This window comes from Homo sapiens, chromosome 8, assembly GCF_000001405.40.
Source record: "Homo sapiens chromosome 8, GRCh38.p14 Primary Assembly".
Classification (NCBI taxonomy): domain Eukaryota; kingdom Metazoa; phylum Chordata; class Mammalia; order Primates; family Hominidae; genus Homo; species Homo sapiens.
Window position 1 is genome coordinate 97,013,573 of NC_000008.11, and position 18,187 is coordinate 97,031,759.

General features: G+C 38.9%; 1 protein-coding gene and 1 long non-coding RNA gene across 2 annotated transcripts in view; one reads left to right on the forward strand and one right to left on the reverse strand.

Annotated features, from left to right (window-relative positions):
* The window catches only part of CPQ (carboxypeptidase Q), a 498,260-nt gene that overhangs the window by 368,331 nt on the left and 111,742 nt on the right, over nucleotides 1-18,187 (forward strand). The window contains exon 6 of the mRNA NM_016134.4: nucleotides 15,831-15,922. Coding sequence (NP_057218.1) covers nucleotides 15,831-15,922 — 92 coding nt within the window. The remainder of the gene's footprint in view (nucleotides 1-15,830; nucleotides 15,923-18,187) is intronic.
* LOC101927066 (uncharacterized) overlaps nucleotides 1-18,187 on the reverse strand; it is a 494,634-nt gene that overhangs the window by 61,709 nt on the left and 414,738 nt on the right. The gene's annotated exons all lie outside the window — the stretch shown is intronic.

The window sequence follows — 18,187 nt, forward strand, 5'->3', positions numbered from 1 at the left end:
CTGGATCTTGTAAGATAGTTGAGATATGCATAAGTTGAGAGAAAAAGAAAGGACAAACCAGATGGCATAAATGGTGTGAGGAAAATCACAGAAATGGAAAGAAAGTGAGGAGGCCAATTTACATGGAAATGAGGCTTTTGGAAAAGGGAGTAGTTGGAGGTAACTCTTGGAGGCAGATCGGAATCTATCTACATAGGGCCTTGAATGCTATACTAAAGAGGATGGTCTATCCCATAGACCAGTGGTGTCCAAAGTTAGGAAGTGTGTAGGAAAATACATTTGTATATAGAAAAAGATGTATTCTTTATATAGAAAAAGAAATATATTTTACTAATAATTTCTTGTATTGACAATGTTGTATATGTGTCATTTATATGTAAATATGCTATGTGGTGATCCACACTCAAAATTGTTTTATTGATAGAGATACATGTTCAAAAGAGGTTGGAGGCAGATGACTGCTATAGGTGATAAGGGATGATTAAAGGTTTTCATGCAGCCAGTGACATGTTCAAAGCAGTATTCTAAGAAGATGAATCTGGCAGCAGTTATACCGAGAGGATTGGTGGAAGCAGTTAGTTGGCGATTGCAACAATTCAAAGGGCTTAAATTATGATAGCCACAGTAGGAATGTAAAGGAGGGGGAGAGTTCCAGGGATGTTCGGATAATCTTATTATTTGCATGGTGAGATTTTCCTTTAGCAAGAGTATTCAGCAATCTCTTTGGGGGCTGAGAATAGAGCAGTGCTCAAGAAGGTGAGTTTTTGTTTGAAACTGATTTCAAAAGTGGGTTAGTGGTCAGGCGCAGTGGCTCACACCTGTAATCCCAGCAATTTGGGAGGCCGAGGCGGGCAGATCACTTGAGGTCAGGAGTTCAAGACAAGCCTGGCAAACATGACAAAGCCCCATCTCTACTAAAAATATAAAACTAGCTGGGCATGGTGACAAATGCCTGTAATCTCTGGAGGCAGAGGCATGAGAATCACTTGAACCCAGGAGTCGGAGGTTGCAGTGAGCTGAGATTGCGCCACTGTACACCAACCTGGGTGACAGAGGGAGACTCCATCTCAAAAAAAAAAAAAAAAAAGGATTAGTACTACCCCAAATGTACTATGGTCTGAAAACCTAAACTTAAATGTGACCAATAATTAAAAATTACATTAATTACTGGTCAAAAACAATATAGGATTAATCCTTTAATTGAGTATAGATAACTTCATAACTAATTTTATACACAAGGAAAATCTTTGAAAATGTAGATAACATCTTCTCCACCATAATCATAAAAAGGAGCATGATAACAGAAGTAGCTTAATAATGGTTCCTGCATTATATTAAAAAAAACTTATGCTTCATATTTGCTGTTTGGTGTTGAAAAGGGATCCCAGAAATTTTCTCATCTCAGTTGCTTGTTGGAGATGCATTACTTTTTTATAATACATGATTCAAGTACAAACAGTTGTTTTTCCTCACACAGCTTGATCTTCACAAAAAATAAAATTTAAAAAACCATTTTGGTAAATGTAAATTTGTAAAAGGAGGTTTTGGTACTTGTACTTGATTTACCATCATTTTCTTTAAAATTGTACTGTTGTTTAACTTCTCACCAGTTGATGTTTTTGTAAGGTAGAACTCTTAACAAAAGTGTGATTCAGAGTTCAAATCTATTATTAGCCAGGCTTCTCAATTTCTCCTTGCACATAAAAACATGGTAAATAATGATAGAGAAAAAGAAATAGCATGTTTGAAAATGCCAACTAGATCAGGCTTGTGATTCCTACATGATACTAGCATTATCTTAGACATGTGTTGATAAAAGAGCCCTACTATCAGGCAATTTAAATTAAAAAAAAAAACAAATTCACATATTTTAACTCTTGCCAGGCATCGGATATAAACTTAACAATTATCTCAATCAAGGTAAAATAGACTATAGATTGTGTGTGCATATGTGTGAAAATGAACAGAATATAGTGTAGAAAAATAGATACAATATGACACATAAAAAAGAAGATAAGATTTTAAAGTTCTACATTAAGCAAAAGTAACTTTTCTCAGGCATTGCTGGTAGAAATATAAATTGGTAACCTTTCTTTAGGGCATTGGTGGCATGTGTCAAGAGCCTTAAGAATGTTTATACTGTTTAAACTCAGTTCTATATTTCTATTTTTAAGAACTTGTCCCAAGAATAAAATCCTTAAATGCCCAATAATAAGGGAGTAGCTAAAATAAGTGAAGAACCATTTTTGAACATTATTGATTATAATAAGGACCATATGTGCCCTGACTTTAAGTGGAAAGGGCAGTAGAAAACTACTATTGTTTACATACATTTATAATTTTTGTACGTACATATTTGTATACATACATTTGTTTACAAAAAATGTAAAGAAGTATAACAATATTCTTACAAGTTGTTTTGGTTTCTAATTTTTTGTTTCTCTCAATTTTAAATTTTAAAAAAGATATGTTGCTATATATTGTATTTATATTCAGAAAAATTATCAAAATAATTTTAAAAATAAAATAATTAAAGAGAGCTCCCAGAGTTTAAAATGTAAATACCTATCATTTAATTCAGTTAGCTGATGGAAAATTTTGGTGACCATTACATATTTATTTAATGACTTAGTCAACAAGAGCTGTTGATGTATTAAATTTTGAGTAGACCCAGCTGTGCTACAAAAGTAGGTAATGTAATGGCAACTAAAGCAAATGTCAAAGCTGAAGCACATTTAATTATCTTGGCTACTGGGGTGTTTTAACCTGTGTTACTTGTGCTTTGGTCTCACAAAAATGGCATCTTTTACCAACTTTCTAAACTGAGTAGGCAATGCATGCTTTAGATTAAATGAAAAGGTGGTCCCTTTTATTTATATTTATACAAATATATTCATTCAGTCAATCAAATAAACAAACATTTATTCAGCAATTGTCAAATGTCAGGTATTGGGCCAGATTATGAAAAAGGGAAATGAGTATCAGAAAATTAATGGTCTAATGGGAAGATCAACATTTAAGGGTGGCTGAAAATGAAAATAGAGTTATGCATGCAGTTCTAGAGGAACATTGAGAAAGGGGCAGCCAACTCTGCCTTTGAGTTAGGGGAGCCTTCCCAGAGAAAGTATTATAGAGATAGGCTTTGTTCAATGAATAGGAGTTTCCTAGATGGAAAAGGTGAAGAGGTATTCTAGATAGGAAGAAGAGCATATACAAAATGTCAAAACTCTGAGATAACATGGCCTGTTCAGGGACTGGTAGGAAATATGGTATAGCTAGAGCTTAGGATGAGAAGCAGAAGCAGATCATGATGGCAGACCAGAAGCAAGACTAGATTGCAGCTGTCACTCGGATGGACAGAACAGTGTGTGGAGACTTGCATTGTGAACTTTTACTCAACAATGACTGCAGGAATACATTAGGAAAGCCAAGAGAACCCATAGACCCTCTGAAGGAAGCAGATTACTCCTGCAGGACCTGGGAGACACCCCAAATACTGTAAGACACCCCAAAAAACTGTAGAAGTGGGAAAAGGAGATCATCTGCCCCTGAACATATATCCCCACTGGAGAGGGAACCTGAAGTTCTAGAGTACGGGAGAAGATTCCGACCTTACATGCAGCTGAGTCAATGTAGAGGGCCGAGCAAAATATGGGGTTAGAGGAAGCAGGAGAAAAGTCCCTGTGGGCTCGCTGGCTCCCCTAGCAAGCCACTTCTGCCTCACCTCACAGGGGTCCTTGAGGAGGGGTGCTAGAGGCACTGGGAAAAGGCCACAGGGAGAAGGAAACCTCCAGCTGAACTTTGTAACAATTTGAGCTGATCAAAAAGTCTCCTGGCCAGAACTGGGGGGAGGGCATGAATCCAGTGTGCAGACTCCACAGGCAAGGGAAGAAGGAAAGCCCTACTTACTTTTGCAGCTGGGAGGCAAGTAGCCTGGGGCAAGTTCTCAGCCCTGCTCACCCACCACCTGGAAACAGACTTGGTGCTGTTGGGAGGGGCACAGTGAGAGTGAGATCAGCCCTTTGGGTTGCCTGGGAGCTGGATGAGGCCTGTGACTGCCGGCTTTCCCCTACTTCCCTGACAACCTGCATTACACAGCAGAGAGAGCCATAATCCTTCTAGGAACATAACTCCATTGACCTAGAAACTTCAACCCCATCCTCCACAGCAGCCATAGCAAGAGTCTGACATGCCTAGCCCTGCCCCCACCTGGTGGTCCTTCCCTACATACCCTGGTGGCTGAAGACAAAGGGCATATACTCTTGGCAGTTCTAGGGACCCACCCACCACCTGTTCCTCCCCATATTACCACAGATGATGCTCTCTTGAATGTGCCACCTCCCAGCAGGAGGATAACCAGCTCAAAAATAGTGCACTAATCAATCAAAGCTAAGGTATCCTCACAGAGTCCATTTCACCTCCTTGCCGCCTCCACCAGAGCAGATGCTAATATCCATGGCTGAGAGACCCATAGACAGTTCATCACAGGACTCTGTGCAGATGACCCCAGTACCAGCCCAGACCTGGTAGACTTGCTGGGAGGCTAGATCCAGAAGAGAGATAACAATCACTACAGCTCAGCTCTTAGGAAGCCACATCCCTAGGAAAAGGGGGAGAGTACTACATCAAGGAAACACCCTGTGAGACAAAAGGAACTGAACACCAGCGTTGAGCCTTAGACCTTCCCTCTGACAGAGCTGACCCAAATGAGAAGGAACCAGAAAACCAACTCTGGTAATATAACAAAACAGCGTTCTTTAACATCCCCCCAAAAAATCACACTAGCTCACCAACAATGGATCCAAACCAAGAAGAAATCCCTGATCTACCTGAAAAAGAATTCAGAAGGTTAGTTGTTAAGCTAATCAGGGAGGTACCAGAGAGAAACAAAGCCCAGTGTAAGGAAATCCAAAAAAATGATACAAGAAGTGAAGGGAGAAATATTCAGTGAAATAGATAGCATAAATAAAAAACAATCAAAACTTCAGGAAACAATGGACACACTTATAGAAATGCAAAATGCTCTGGAAAGTCTCAGCAATAGAATTGAACAAGCAAAAGAAAGAACTTCAGAGCTTGAAGACAAAGTTTTCGAATTAAGCAAAGACAAAGAAAAAAGAATAAGAAAATATAAACAAAGCCTCCAAGAAGTCTGGGATTATGTTAAACTACAAAACCTAAGAATAATTGGCATTGCTGAGGAAGAAGAGAAATCTAAAAGTTTGGAAAATATATTTAGAGGAATAATTGAGGAAAACTTCCCCAGCCTTGGTAAAGAACTAGTCATCCAAATACAAGAAACTCAAAGAACACTGGGAAATTCATCACAAAAAGATCACCACCTAGGCACATTGTCCTCAGGTTATCTAAAGTTAAGATGAAGGAAAGAATCTTAACAGCTGTGAGGCAAAAACACCAGGTAAACTATAAAGGAAAACCTATCAGATTAACAGCAGATTTCTGAGCAGAAACCCTGCAAGCTAGAAGGGATTGGGGCCCTATCTTCAGCCCCCTCAAAACATTTTATCAGCCAAGAATTTTGTACCCGGCGAAATTAAGCTTCATAAATGAAAGAAAGATACAGCCTTTTTCAGACAAACAAATGCTGAGAGAATTTGCCACTACCAAGCCACCACTACAAGAACCGCTAAAAGGAGCTCTAAATCTTGAAACAAATCCTGGAAACACATCAAAACAGAACCTCTTTAAAGCATAAATCACACAAAAATACAATTTAAAAACAAAAAGCAAAAAACCAAAGTATACAGGCAACAAATAGCATGATGAATGGAATGGTACCTCACACCTCAATACTAATGATGAATGTAAATGGCCTAAATGCTCCACTTAAAAGATACAGAAATGCAGAATGGATAAGAATTCACCAACCATCTGCTGCCTTCAGAGACACACCTAACACTTAAGTGCTCACATAAACTTAAGGTAAACGGATAGAAAAAGAGATTCCATGCAAATGGACATGAAAGTGAGCAGGAGTAGCTATTCTTTTATCAGACAAAACAAACTTTAAGGCTCTAGCAGTTAAAAAAGACAGAGGGTCATTATATAATGATAAAAGGCCTTGTCCAACAGGAAAATATCACAATTCTAAATATATATGCACCTAACACTGGAGCTCCCAAATTTATAAAACAATTAGTAATTGACCTGAGAAGTAAGATAGACAGCACCACAGTAATAGTGGGGGACTTCAGTACTCTACTGACAGCACTAGACAGTTCATCAACACAGAAAGTCAACAAAGAAACAATGGATTTAAACTACACCCTGGAATAAATAGACTTAACAGATATTTACAGAACATTCTACCCAAGAACTGCAGAATATACATATTCTATTCATCAGCACATGGAACTTTCTCCAAGATAGACCATATGATAGGCCACAAAACGAGTCTTGATAAATTCAAGAAAATTGAAATTATATCAAGTACTCTCTCAGACCACAGTGGAATAAAACTGGAAATCAACTCCAGAAGGAACCTTCAAAACCAGGCAAATACATGGAAATTAAATAAACTGCTCCTGAATGATCATTGGGTCAAAATTGAAATCAAGATGAAAATTAAAAAATTCTTTGAACTGAGTGACAGTAGTGACATAACCTATCAAAACCTCTGGGATACAACAAACGCGGTGCTAAGAGGAAAGTTCATAGCATTAAATGCCTACATCAAAAAGTCTGAAAGAGCACAAATTGAGATTCTAAGGTCACATCTCAAGGAACTAGAGAAACAAAAACAAACCAAACCCAAACCCAGCAGAAGAAAGGAAATAACTAAGATCAGAGCATAACTAAATGAAATTGAAACAAGAAAATACAAAAGATAAATGAAACAAAAAGCTGGTTTTTTGGAAAGATAGATAAAATTGATAGACCATTAGCAAGATTAAACAAGGAAAGAAGAGAGAAAAGCAACATAAGCTCAATTAGAAATGAAAGGGACATATTACAACTGACACCACAGAAATGCAAAAGGTCATTCAAGGGTACTATGAACACCTTTATGTGCATAAACTAGAAAACCTACAGGAGATGGATACATTCCTGAAAAGATACAACCTTCCTAGCTTAGATCGGAAAGAATTAGATATTCTGAACAGACCAAAAACAAGCAGCAAGATTGAAATGATAATTAAAAAATTACCAACAAAAAAAGCCCAACACCAGATGGATTCACCCAGAATTCTACCAGACATTCAAAGAAGAATTGGTACCAATTCTATTGACACTATTCCACAAGATAGAGAAAAAGGGAACAGTCCCTAAATCATTCTATAAAGCCAGTACCACCCTAATACCAAAACCAGGAAAGGACATAACCAAAAAAGAAAACTAAAGACCAATATCCCTGGTGAATATAGATGCTAAAATCCTTAATAAAATACTAGCTAACCAAATCCAACAACGTATCAAAAAGATAATCCACCATGATCAAGTGGGTTTCATACCAGGGACGCAGGAATGGTTTAACATACACAAGTCAATAAATGTGATACACCACATAAGCAGAATCAAAAACAAAAATTACATGATCATCTCAATAGATGCAGAAAAAGCATTCCACAAAATCTAGCTTCCCTTTATGATTAAAACTCTCAGCAAAATCGGCATATAAGGGACATACCTCAATGTAATGAAAGCCATCTATGACAAACCCACAGCCAACATAATACTGAATGGGGAAAAGTTGAAAGCATTCCCTCTGAGAACTGGGACAAGACAAGGATGCCCACTCTCACCACTCCTCTTCAACATAGAACTGGAAGTCCTAGCCAGAGCAGTCAGACAAGAGAAAGAAATAAAGGGCATCCAAATTGGGACTCCCGCTGTCTGCTGATGATATGATTGTTTGCCTAGAAAACCCTAAAGACTCCTCCAGAAAGCTCCTAGAACTGATACAAGAATTCAGAAAAGTTTCCGGATACAAAATTAACGTACAGAAATCAGTAGGTCTTCTATATACCAATAGTGACCAAACTGAGAATCAAATCAAGAACTCAACCCCTTTTAAAATAGCTGCAAAAAGATAATATAATAAAATACTTAGGAATATACCTAACCAAGGATGTGAAAGACTTGAACAAGGATACAAAACACTGCTGAAAGAAATCATAGACAACGCAAACAAATGGAAACACATCCCATGCTTGTGAATAGGTAGAATCAATATTGTGAAAATGACCATACTGCCAAAAGCAATCTATAAATTCAGTGCAATTCCTATCAAAATACCACCATCATTCTTCACAGAATTTAAAAGCAAACAAACAAACAAACAAAACCAGTCCTAAAATACATACAGAACCAAAAAAAGAGCCCACATAGCTGAAGCGAGACTAAGCAAGAAGAATAAATCTGGAGGTGTCACATTACCTGATTACAAACCATATTATAAGGCCATAGTCACCAAAACAGCATGGTACTGACATGAAATTAGGCACATAGACCAATGGAACAGAATAGAGAACCCAGAAATAAACCCAAATACTTACAGCCAACTGATCTTCAACAAAGCCAACAAAAACGTAAAGTTGGGAAAGGACACCCTATTCAACAAATGGTGCTGGGATAATTGGCAAGCCACATGTAGGAGAATGAAACTGGATCCTCATCTCTCACCTTATACAAAAATCAACTCAAGATGGATCAAGGATTTAAATCTAAGACCTGAAACTATAAAAATTCCAGAAGATAACATTGGAAAAACCCTTCTAGACATTGGCTTAGGCAAGGATTTCATGATCAACAACCCAAAAGTAAATGCAATAAAAACAAAGATAAATACTGGGATTTAATTAAACTTAAGAGATTTTGCGTGGCAAAAGGAACAGTCAGCAGAGTTAACAGACAACCCAGAGTGGGAGAACATCTTCACAATCTATACATCTGACAAAGGACTAATATCCAGAATCTACAGTGAACTCAAACAAATCAGCAAGAAAATAAACAATCCCATCAAAAAGTGGGCTAAAGACATGAATAGACAATTCTCAAAAGAAGATATACAAATGGCCAACAAACATATGAAAAAATGCTCAACATCACTAATGATCAGGGAAATGCAAATCAAAACCACAATGCGATACTACCTTACTCCCGCAAGAATGACCATAATCAAAAAATCAAAAAATAATTGATGTTGGCAGGGATGCAGTGAATAGGGAACACTTCTGCACTGCTGGTGGGAATGTAAACTAGTACAACCACTATGGAAAACAGTGGGGAGATTCCTTAAAGAACTAAAAGTAGAACTACCATTTGATCCAGCAATCCCACCACTGGCTACGTACCCAGTGGAAAAGAAGTCATTAAATGAAAAAGATACTTGCACACACGTTTATAGCAGCACAATTTGCAATTCCAAAAACATATATATATACTGTATATAGTATATATATACAGTATATATATACTATATATAGTATATATATACAGTATATATACAGTATATATACTGTATATATAGAAACTGTAGTGTATATATATACACTATGTATATACTATATATATACACACTATATATATATACTATATATGTTACTCAACCATAAAAACGAATGAATTAATGGCATTCGCAGTGACCTGGATGAGACTGGAGACTATTATTCTAAGTGAAGTAATTCAGGAATGGAAAAACAAACATTGTATGTTCTCACTCATATGTGGGAGCCAAGCTATGAGGATGCAAAGGCATAAGAAAGACACAATGGACTTTGGGGACTCAGAGGGAAAGGGTGGGAAGGAGTTGAGGGATAAAAGACCACAAATTGGGTGCAGTGTATACTGCTCAGGTGATGGGTGCACCAAAATCTCACAAATCACCACCAAAGAACTTACTCATGTAACCAAACACCACCTGTACCCCAATAACCTATGGAAATAAAAAAATAAAAAATATAATAAGCAGAAGCAGAGGATGAGAGTGGAAAACTGGGCTAGGCCAGAAATGGCCTTTATGCACTTGGAGTCATAATGTTTCTGCTTCACCAATGATTAACAGTGATTTTCCTGGCTAATAGAATCTTAATCATTATAATGAGGTAGGACTGTTGCCTTTGAATTATGGAAATTATAGCTGTTAAGACCTGTTCCACAAACACAGGTTATACATATTATCACATCTCTTTAATCTTCTTTACAGTTAATCACCCAAGTCTCCACAGGGCTTATTAGCAGGAAGGCTATTATCTCCTCTTGAGATCCCTCCCACTGCCCCTGAATTGTCCATGAATCCTGACTTTACTCAGGCCAAATGGGTCAGTCCTCCTGCAGAAGCCCATAGCTGGATCTGTCTGTGACTGCTGCCCTCTCTGGTGTCTGCTATATGGCACCATTTGCACATCCGTGTCACAGGGTACCCATTTTGGGTGACAAGGTTACAACTCTCTTTGTTTACATTTCCATCCTCAGCCATTGTTCCCTAAATCATAACCACTGTGCCAGGCTGGCTGGTCTGGAGGCGCTTCTGGAGTTGGCCTCATGCTAGTCTGAAATTAGTCCTTCTCCTAGAATCTGAGGCCATTTTGTTGAGCCCAGATCAACAGCCCAGATTCCGCCCTTCTTTAGGATCACTTTATTTCCATGGCTTCCAGGACCTTCCCTGCTCCGGGACCTTAGTCAGTGTCATCCTGACCCAATAGATCTCTCATCCCCGGCCTCCAGTTCGAGGAAACGGGGATGAAGACACTAGGGCTTCCCTCCAGAAGGCCCTGGGCTCCTTTTTCCACACAGATTCTCCTCCTGCCAAGTGTGCAGATTGTTTCTCGGGGTGGCTCAAAAGGTAGCAGTTTGCAAGATGGAGTTTAAAAAACAGTTTGTTGCCCTGCCCTAATGCTCCCCCAAAATGCCTAATTGCTTTATATTTACATAACTAAGAAAGACACCAAGGGATTCTTCCAAAAACAAAGATCTTCTTCAAGGTGATCTTCTGTTCTGCCTTTAAAGAGAAGTAGTTGCAGTTTACTTCACTAAAATAATTAATTTTTGTCTAACCATGTCCCTATTTTATCAGTGATAATGTGCTCATAAATTATACGACAGATTATGTAATTTGCCCAAAGCAGAAAGAGGTCTCAGACCCCAAACCCATGCATTTAACCACTCTGCTTTACTACCTCTTGTCATTCAATTCACATGCTACCATGTCATTATTTACTTTTATGTCTCGGATACTGTACTCTTATTAGTTAAGTTTATTGCAGGAATATAAATCTCTTTAAGTGTAGGCACTCTCTTCTGGGCTGTTGCTGAAAGAGAGTGGGACAACAGGTGTATTTGTGAACTAGTAGAAAATGAGTATATTTACTGCAGAAGGAAGTTGTGTTTTCTCTGCAAAGTTAGATCACAGAAGGGAGAATGATACTTATCTATAGTTCTGGAGGGTTGAAACCGAATAGTAAATGGGTGTTAGGATCAATACATATTGTTAAGAAACAGTGTTCTATAAATTTCATGATTTAGGAAAGCTGTCTACAAAGCTGGATTAATCTTTTTCTGCTGAGGGCCAAGTTTACTTTGCTCTGCCCCTCTCTGTGCAAGTGTAAGACAGTCAACTGACCTTTCAGATTATCAGCTTAATGATAGTTCTCTCTCAGAATTCTTTAAATTTAAGAATAATGAAAAAAAAGTCCAAAGAGATCTTTTTCATCATTTCTCTTCTCCCTATTATTATTACTCTCCTCAATGAAATGAAAATGAAATGCCTGTGTATCCTATTTCATAAACCAAAACCAAGTTCTGACACATTATTGGAAGTTTATGTTGCTTTAGAGGAAAACCATGTTGGCTATAAACTGTTGCATTATCTGGAAATCATACTGTAGATTCCAGGAGGTCAAGGCGTCTCTGGCAACTTCTATATATTTATAGGAGAACCGACTGCCTCTCCTCTAACAAAACCTCAATGAGACCTGACTCCTAGCCAGCTAAGACTCGGCATGGTCCTCCCTGCGTCTTCAAATTCTAGGACTTTCCCTCATGTGCTTGCCTTGGACTGGAGCTGCAAGCTACCAAGCCAGTGCCAGACTGGGGGCCAGGCTTACAGCAGAGCTTCCACTTACCCCAAATCTGCCACAGAATTAATTCCCTACGTTTGACCTCATATTACTTTGTTTTGTTACTATCATTGTTACTGCTTTAGTATTGTTGTTGTCGTTGCTTTCCTGTATATATTTAAGACTTGTGGCTTTTAAAACTAGTTTGGATTTAAGATACACAATAAGTTCTATCATTTGAAAATGATAAATATAGATGTCCTTACATCAATTGTCTTCAGATTTCGGATATATTTAGCCTTTTGACTTTATCCAAAAACTAAACATTCTGATTGGCCCTCATTTTAAAAGGGAAGAACCTGTTTCTATTTATTTAGATTTGTATATGCTCTATATTGGGATGAGGGAGCTTTTTGTACTGAAAGAAGTTATGTATTTTCCTACAGGTTAGATAAAATCTGTGTTTTCCCTTGGCTAGGTTTATGCATGCTGTATAAACAAAGGTGTTCTGGGGCTCCTAAGGAAGCGGTCTGAGGACCATGTGTCTCACCTAGTTCTCCCACATGCTCTCCCTGGTGACTGTTGGCACTGACCAGAAAGGTCTAGAGTGGTGGAGAGAGAAGCTAATAAACAATTCTTGAAAACCTACTATGTGCCAGGACTATGCTTGATATACATTTGCTTTGTTTTATTTAACTTTCATAACAATCCCAGCAGGCAATTACCATTTTCCTTATTATATAGATGAAGAGATTAGGTATTATAATTAATCTAATCTCACAGAGCCAGAAGTGGCAGAGCCAGGAGTAAAACACAGCTCAGACTCCACAGCCAATGCCTTTCTGTACCCTACACCGTCCATCATGGATTTAGGTAGCCTGGGGACCTGAACTCCCCACTAGGTTTAAGGTCTAATTCTTGAATGAAACCTCACGCATTTCTCTTAGGTTCAGGGACAATCAGATTGTCAGAGTAGAAAGAGACTTTGGATTCAACATTTGCTAACCCACTGGCTTCCTAACTTCTTCCTAAGGCCTTCACTCTGTGAAGTAGGTGCTAGGGTTCCCTGCTAATGAGTACTAAGCTTCTCAAGGGCTTGAGCAGGCTTGTTAGTCTTTTTAGGGCCAGCTGTGCACCAACTATGCTGTTGTTGTGTTGAGGCCTTAGCATTCCTCACTTCAAATCAATTACTTCTTTATTACCTTAATACATCACTGGCCATGTGGCTGATTTGGAATGTAAAGGAGACTAACCCTGTAGGATAATAACTTTCACTTGGCACACAAAATCTATACGGATATTCAGAGCATTTGCTTTTAAAAAATGAATATTCTGTAGCCTGTGCTGCCTGTTTATTCTTATTTAGAGAATTTCGTCATTTTAATAATTTGGTAATATTTTACTGGTAGGTGCGGAGATATGTAAAAAAAAGTGTATTTTTTTCTTTTCTTGTGGATTTAAAAAATGTTTAGAATTTTTATTTGCAGCCTATAAACAATAATAGTACTTTATCCTTTCTTATTTTTGCCTATATTACAAGCAAGTAATTTCATTTAAATTGACTTTAAGCACATTCCTTTGAAAGAAACCGAAGATTGTTATCTTTGGCAATCCTGATTAGATTTCTTCCTCAGACAACAGTTTATTAAGTTTGTGCTATGAATGTGGGCAGGTGGTTTGACTCGGTGGAGCAAGTAGTGGGCACTCTAGAATTCTTTTTCTCCAAGTACTCAAAGGCCTTTGGAAGAATTTCCTCTCTGAGCATTTAGATGTTCCTTCTACTCTGTGAGGTGAAAGTGTGTTATGTGGTTTTATTTTTCACTTATTGAATGCCAATTACATGCCAGCCCCAGGGTTGTCTTACATGTGTTATCATATCTCATTTAATCTGAAAAAGGATTATGGCATAGGCACATAATATTATCTTCATCTTTCAGATAAAGAGGCATAAGTTCAGGTAAATACATATCCCAGTAGTTACACAGCTAGTGCCTAATGATAGCAGGATTTACCAGATCTGTCTGCCTTTTTCAAATATAACACCTTGCCTGGGAATGAGCTAGCAGAAGACTTTTAGAAGATGAGACTGGAGAAGTGGCTTCAAATTTCATTCTAATCAAGACACTAAGCTTTGCATTTATTTATTCCTTCATTACCATTTATTGGGCACCTAATGTGTGTCAAACAATCTAGGAATTGGCGACATTACAATGAATAAAAAGCATAGATCCCTGTCTTCCAGAAGTTTACTTCTGGTTATTGGAGGTTTTGAGCCAAGAAATGACATGATCTGGCTTAGCTTTTACAAAGACCCTCCTGGCTACAGTGTGAAGCATCACCTGAAGAGAGGTGAGGGCTTCAGCAGCAAGCCCAGTTAGGAGGCCACTGCAGCAATCCAGACAACTGCGGGGCTTGGACCACAGTAGTGGCCAAGATGAGAATTTGGATTTTATATGGACTTAGATGGAAACACCAATGGGATTGCTGAGGAACTGAATGTAGAAATTGCTTGTCCATGTTTTAACTGCAACTATGGTCAGCCTGCATCCTAAACCTATGCTTTTTAAGTTATGTTAACATGCTGAAGTACAAAGTGACTTCACAACTATATTCAATTTCATGAAAAACTGTAGCTCCTCCTTTTCAGCTCCTTAGGCTTAGGAAAGGAGAGTGCCTCTTGGAGCCTGGAAGAGGCAGGAGAGAGCTCTGTGTCCCAGAAGCATTTGTCATCCAGGCTGCAGTTAGCCAGCTGGCTCCTTCAAAAGCCACACACCTGGGTGGCAGCACATATGTGGTTATACCTGAGATATGTGGTGTGTCCATCTCAGAGCCACTCAAAGTCCATTTTAACCCTTCCCTATGGCTCCCCATGAGGAGGTGGGAAAACGAATCCTCTTAATAAGATTTAAGCACAGCTTCACATTTTTCTGTCTTTGTTATTTCTCAGAAATGCCATTATCAGTCTGAGTCAGAACAGATATTAATTCTTGGTCACAAAGTAGCACTTTTGGCATACTCTCACCATTTTTTTAACTTCAGAAACAGCTTCCTTGTAGGTAACTTTCACTGAGCTGACATTGTCAGCCAAAAATGGTTCTGGAGCCACTTCATCTGCCATAAAATTTAATAAGTCCAGGATACAAATTTGTGTATCACAAGTCAATAAAATTGCCACCAAGCTGTTTGTGTAGTAATAAGGTCAATAAATGTCATCCTCATTCAATTAATTTTCATTGACCTTAAGGAAATGACCTTCTATTTCCAAGTAGGAGAAGAAATTGGCCATGGAGAAGCATAACTGTTGCATCTGCTTTTCAGTTATTACATTACTGAAGATAGCATGGGCATCTAGCTATGCTTGTATATTCAGACTAAAAAGTAATCTACATGGCTTATCCTGAAGTAGACCCAAATGATTTAATTACAATTAAGATCATTGAAAGACCCCACAATATGCTTGGGGTCATCCTAACTGCATCTTCCAGATATGATCTAATATCTCACTGATCTTGGCCATCCATTGGGTTCTGCTGGGCAGGATATCAAGTTAAGGATGTGATGAGAGGCTCTCACTTTCTGGCCTGCAAACTGCATTTGTCACAACCCCTTTCTCCATTAACCTGGCCTGGAGATCAGCCCTGAAGTTGCTCCTTTGCTGTGCTGGCCATACCCTGAAGGAGACAACCACACCAGTGAGAGTTGAATGCCTCTGATTTCCTCCTTCCTCCACAAGGCAGATGAGGGACCCTGCCATTTTTTTATAAAATTCAAAATCAACTAAAGTATCACTTTTTTATTTTATTATTTTCCCAGGGCTGCGTCCAAAGAGGACTCTGCGGCTGGTGCTCTGGACTGCAGAAGAACAAGGTGGAGTTGGTGCCTTCCAGTATTATCAGTTACACAAGGTAAAAACCCAGCTGTGGATTGCTAAGCATTTGTACATGTAATATACAAAAATCCCTCTCATTGTCCATTTAAGACTTCAATAATACTTTCTGGTCAACTGGCCCTAGGAAACACCCTTGTATGAGCCTTCTCCCTCCAGCCCTGTGAATGAGAATGCACTGGTAAACCAATGATGCTGTGGTGTAGAGCTGAGGGCTTTTCTTCTTCTACACCACAGTCTGAGGCCAAAGAAAAATTCCAATTGCCATGCTGCCATTTTTTTCAAGTCTACCTAGTTCTGCTGTATTCATGTATGTCAGAGAAATAGTTATAGGCAAACATTCCCTCTCCCCACCGAGCCTATCCCCATACCTCAATGCCCGCCATATTCCCAGAAGCCTTGGCATTTGAGAGCCAGGTTCCAAGTCATTGAGTCTGCCAAGAGCATTGCCATGATGGTGGTGGAAATGGCAGCAGCCACAGGCCTCTGTCCCAGGAATGTGGAGGACAGCTTGGTTTGACACCAGCTGTCATTACACAAGTGTGAAGCTTGAAGCAGGAAGGTTATTGTGGATGGTCATGATTAGAAATACAAGACCACATGGAAGAGAGGGGATAGGGAGATTAATATCAAGAGCAAATTTTGAGACAGCAAAATATACAAGCTGAGAAATACTCTAGATCAAGTCAAATGTTAGTTCAAAGAGGAACTCCAAAATCAACGCGCATATGCTGGCAAGCAGTGATGGTTGCCCAGAGAGGAGCATTTGGTCTGCTGCTGCTGCTGGATGGTTTCCCCTGAATGTCCAGATGAGAAGAAGCAGATCTTGCAAGCTTAAATTATCCAAATCGGAGAAGGGTTTCTTTTGTGAATTGTGTGTATGTTATTTTTGACCTTTTTTTTTTTTCAAAGTCAGTCTCTATTACCCTATTTCAGTCAGTTAGAGTATAATGAGTTCAAAGTCATGAATTTGGTCACTGAATACAATTATTTACTGTACAAAGGACAACTTATGACCTATGCCCTACTCTTTCACCACTTTAGTTCTTTTGGCCTCAGGTGATCCTGGGGATAACATAATTCAAGACAAGTGTCCTTTGGTTGGTAGGTCAGTAACATCATTTTCTATGTGTTGTGGTAGACCACAACATCATATAAGGGTTGTTCTAGATTCAGCAACATTCAATTAATATTTTCTGAACATGTACTATGTTCCATACACTATGTTATGCATTAATGTTAGCATCAAAAAGATCTACCCTGACCTTACAAAGCCTACATTCTAAAGGACACTGACGATTAACTTGAATTATAAGGTGTTAAGTCTTTCTGGGAAAGAAATTACATCTAAGCTGAGACCTGAAGACTGAGTGGAAGTAAGCTAAGGAAAATGGAGAGGGAGGGAGGAGGTGGGTACTGCACCTTGGCAGAGGGACCTGTGTGTGCAAAGGCAGGAGATGAGACAGAGGAAAGCACACCAGAGAAATGGAAAGGAATTCAGAGTGGCTGCTGCATAGAATGCAAGATGCACAGTGGTAGGAGGGTGGAACAGAGACGTAAACAAGAGCCTGAACAAGAAGAACATATGAATCATATTTAGACGTGCGGACTTTATCCTCGAGGCAAGAGAGTAACTTATTTTTAAGAAGAAGCTCTAAAATTCTATACATATTGGACTTTATATAAAAAAAAGAATAGTTAAAAGAACTATTCTTTTTTTTTTTTTTTTGAGATGGAGTCTCACTTTGTTGCCCAGGCTGGAGTGGAGTGGCACCATCTTGGCTCACTGCAACCTCCGCCTCCTGGGTTCAAGTGATTCTCCTGCCTCAGCCTCCCAAGTAGCTGGGACTCCAGGCGTGTGCCACCACGCCCAGCTAATTTTTTGTACTTTTAGTGGAGATGGGGTTTCACCGTGTTAGCCAGGACAGTCTCGATCTCCTGACCTTGTGATCTGCCCGCCTCGGCCTCCCAAAGTGCTGGGATTACAGGTGTGAGCCACCGTGCCCTCTTTTATTCTCAGTAATACACTCTACTCCAAGAAAAATATTGGATTTAAATTGCAATTGATCTGGCTAAAAATTTTATCATCACTGAAATTCCTAGAATGTGAAAAAAGAAGGTTTATTTTTCTGTAATGTGAGTTTCACTGTAGCCTATCAAAGCACATGGATGAAATCGGAAATGCCTAAAATTCTGAGGTTGGCAGAAATACACACACTCAAAGGACATGCAATCACATAAACAGAACTACTTTATCTTGACAGCATCCAGGCTGCCTCCATAC